At 50.0% G+C, this 2,612-nt stretch overlaps 1 pseudogene; it reads left to right on the top strand.

Moving 5' to 3' along the window:
- Positions 207-713, top strand: WBP1LP7 (WBP1L pseudogene 7; annotated as a pseudogene).

The raw sequence follows: 2,612 nt of genomic DNA on the forward strand, positions 1-2,612 counted from the left end.
ATTAATATTCTTAAAATGTCCTTACTGCCCAAAGCGATTTATAGGTTTAATGCAACATTTATCAAAATTTCAATGTCATTCTTCACAGAAATAGAAAAAACAATTTGAAAATTTATATGGAACCACAAAGGACCCTGAATAACTAAAGCACTCTTGAGCAATAAGAACAAAGCTGAAGGCCTCACAATCTGACTTCAAAACGTATTACAGGAAAAGAACAAAAGAAGGAAGAAGAGGGTAGAGGAGAAGTGCAGCAAGGGTGGAGGGAGGTGCCCGCGCTGGGTCGGAGGAGCAGGAGGAGTAAGGAGGGAAGACTCCTGGGTGGCATGGAGCTCTTGCACCTCTAGGCACTGCCCAGCCCTGTGTCAGCCAGGGCTGAACCCCCACAGGATAAGGAAGCCTGTGTGTGTACCAACAATCAAAGCTACATCTGTGACACAACAGGACACTGCTATGGGCAGTCTCAGTGTTGTAACTACTACTATGAACATTGGTGGTTCTGGCTCGCGTGGACCATCACCATCATCCTGAGCTGCTGCTGTGTCTGCCACCACAGCCAAGCCAGCCCTCAAGTCCAGCAGTAGCAACATGAAATCAACCTGCCTGCCTATCCAGAAGCCCGCAATTACTCAGTGCTACCATTTTATTTCACCAAACTATTTATTACCTTCTTATGAGGAAGTGGTGAACTAACCTCCACCTGTTTCCCTCCCTGTCTGTCCATTGTGGATGAGCTCTGAGCCCTGTTTTCCTGTGAAGATTCTTTGAATTGCGGCCATTCTATTCACATGAACTCTCACATCTGGAGCACAGATGGCCCTCTCAAGGTAATTTATTGTATGCATTGACTGTTTACCAAACAAATGTCTTACTATGTACTCAGGTATATTCAGCAGCATTGTCGACTGCAGTCCCCTATGCTTGCCAGAAGATACTGTATTCAAAGTAGAAGTTTCACAGTGATGAGTAATCACTGCAATTTTCCCATTGCTCCATGGACTCTCGGAGGCCGGTGTTCTGTTCCCTGTAAATAGAGATGTACTCTGAACCTTTCTGCCTCCCTCAGCTGTTCCTAGTCCTTGGTATCAGCCCCTGGAGATGTCCACAACCACTTAGGACAAAAGGCAAAAGTGGAATTTCAGACAAAACTTTGATAGGATCTTCAGTGATAAACTTGGACTAACTGTGGCCCAGGTATCAGCACTCCCAAGAATTGCCAGGAGGAAGCTTTGGCAGACACCACAGGTATGGCAAGGCCTATCTCCCTCTGCTGAATCCAACAGGGGCAAGCAAGCTGGCATGTGGCTTGAGGTGACCCGAATATGTCAGCACCCCTCAGATGTCTTTCTTTGCACTTTTAAAAAAAATCTCAGAATTTGCTGGCAACATGGCCAAATAGGAACAGCTCCAGTCTGCAGCTCCCAGTGAGATCAATGCAGAATGCAGGTGATTTCTGCATTTCCAACTGAGGTACCTGGTTCATCTCACTGGGACTGGTTGGACAGTGGGTGCAGCGCACGGAGGGTGAGCCAAAGCAGAATGGGGTGTCGCCTCACCCGGGAAGTGCAAGGGGTTGGGGGAATTCCCTCCCCTAGCCAAGGGAAGCCCCGAGGGACTGTACCATGAGGAACGGTGCACTCCACCCAGAAACTATGCTTTTCTCACGGTCTTCACAATCCACAGACCAGGAGATTCCCTCCAGTGCCTCTGCCACCAAGGCCCTAGGTTTCAAGCACAAAACTAGGCAGCTGTTTGGGCAGACACCGAGCTAGCTGCAGGAGTTTTTTTTTTTTTTTCATGCCACAATGGCAACTGGAATGCCAACAAGACAGAACCATTCTCTCTCCTGGAAAGGGGGCTGAAGCCAGGGAGCCAAGTGGTCTGGCTCGGCGGGTCCCACCCATACAGAGCCCAGCAAGCTAAGATCCACTGGCTTGAAATTCTTGCACAGCAGTCTGAGGTTGACCTAGGACACTCGAGCTTGGTGGCGGGAGGGGCTTCCACATTGCCAAGGCTTGAGTAGGCAGTTTTACCCCCACAGTGTAAACAAAGCCACCAGAAAGTTTGAACTGGGTGGAGCCCACCACAACTCAGCAAGGCCACAGCAGCCAGACTGCCTCTCTAGATTTCTCCTCTCTGGGCAAGGCATCTCTGAAAAAAGGGCAGCAGCCCCAGTCAGAGACCTATAGATAAAACCCCCATCTCCCTGGAACAGAGCACCTAGGGGAAAGGGCGCCTGTGGGCACAGCTTCAGCAGACTTAAAGCATCTTTGAAAAGCCTGATGGCTCTGAAGAGAGCAGCAGATCTCCCAGCACAGTATTCGAGCTCTGATAAGGGTCAGACTGCCTCCTCAAGTGGGTCCCTAACCCCCGTGTATCCTGACTGGGAGACACCTCCCAGTAGGTGCCAACAGGCACCTCATACAGGAGAGCTCTGGCTGGCATCTGGTGGGTGCCCCTCTTGGACAAAACTTCCAGAGGAAGAAACAGGCAGCAATCTTTGCTGTTCTCCAGCCTCCGCTGGTGATGCCCAGGCAAACAGGGTCTAGAGTAGACCTAGGGCAAACACCAACAGACCTGCAGCAGAGGGGCCTGACTGTTAGAAGGAAAAC

Source organism: Homo sapiens, chromosome 1 (genome assembly GCF_000001405.40).
Source record: "Homo sapiens chromosome 1, GRCh38.p14 Primary Assembly".
NCBI classification, from domain to species: domain Eukaryota; kingdom Metazoa; phylum Chordata; class Mammalia; order Primates; family Hominidae; genus Homo; species Homo sapiens.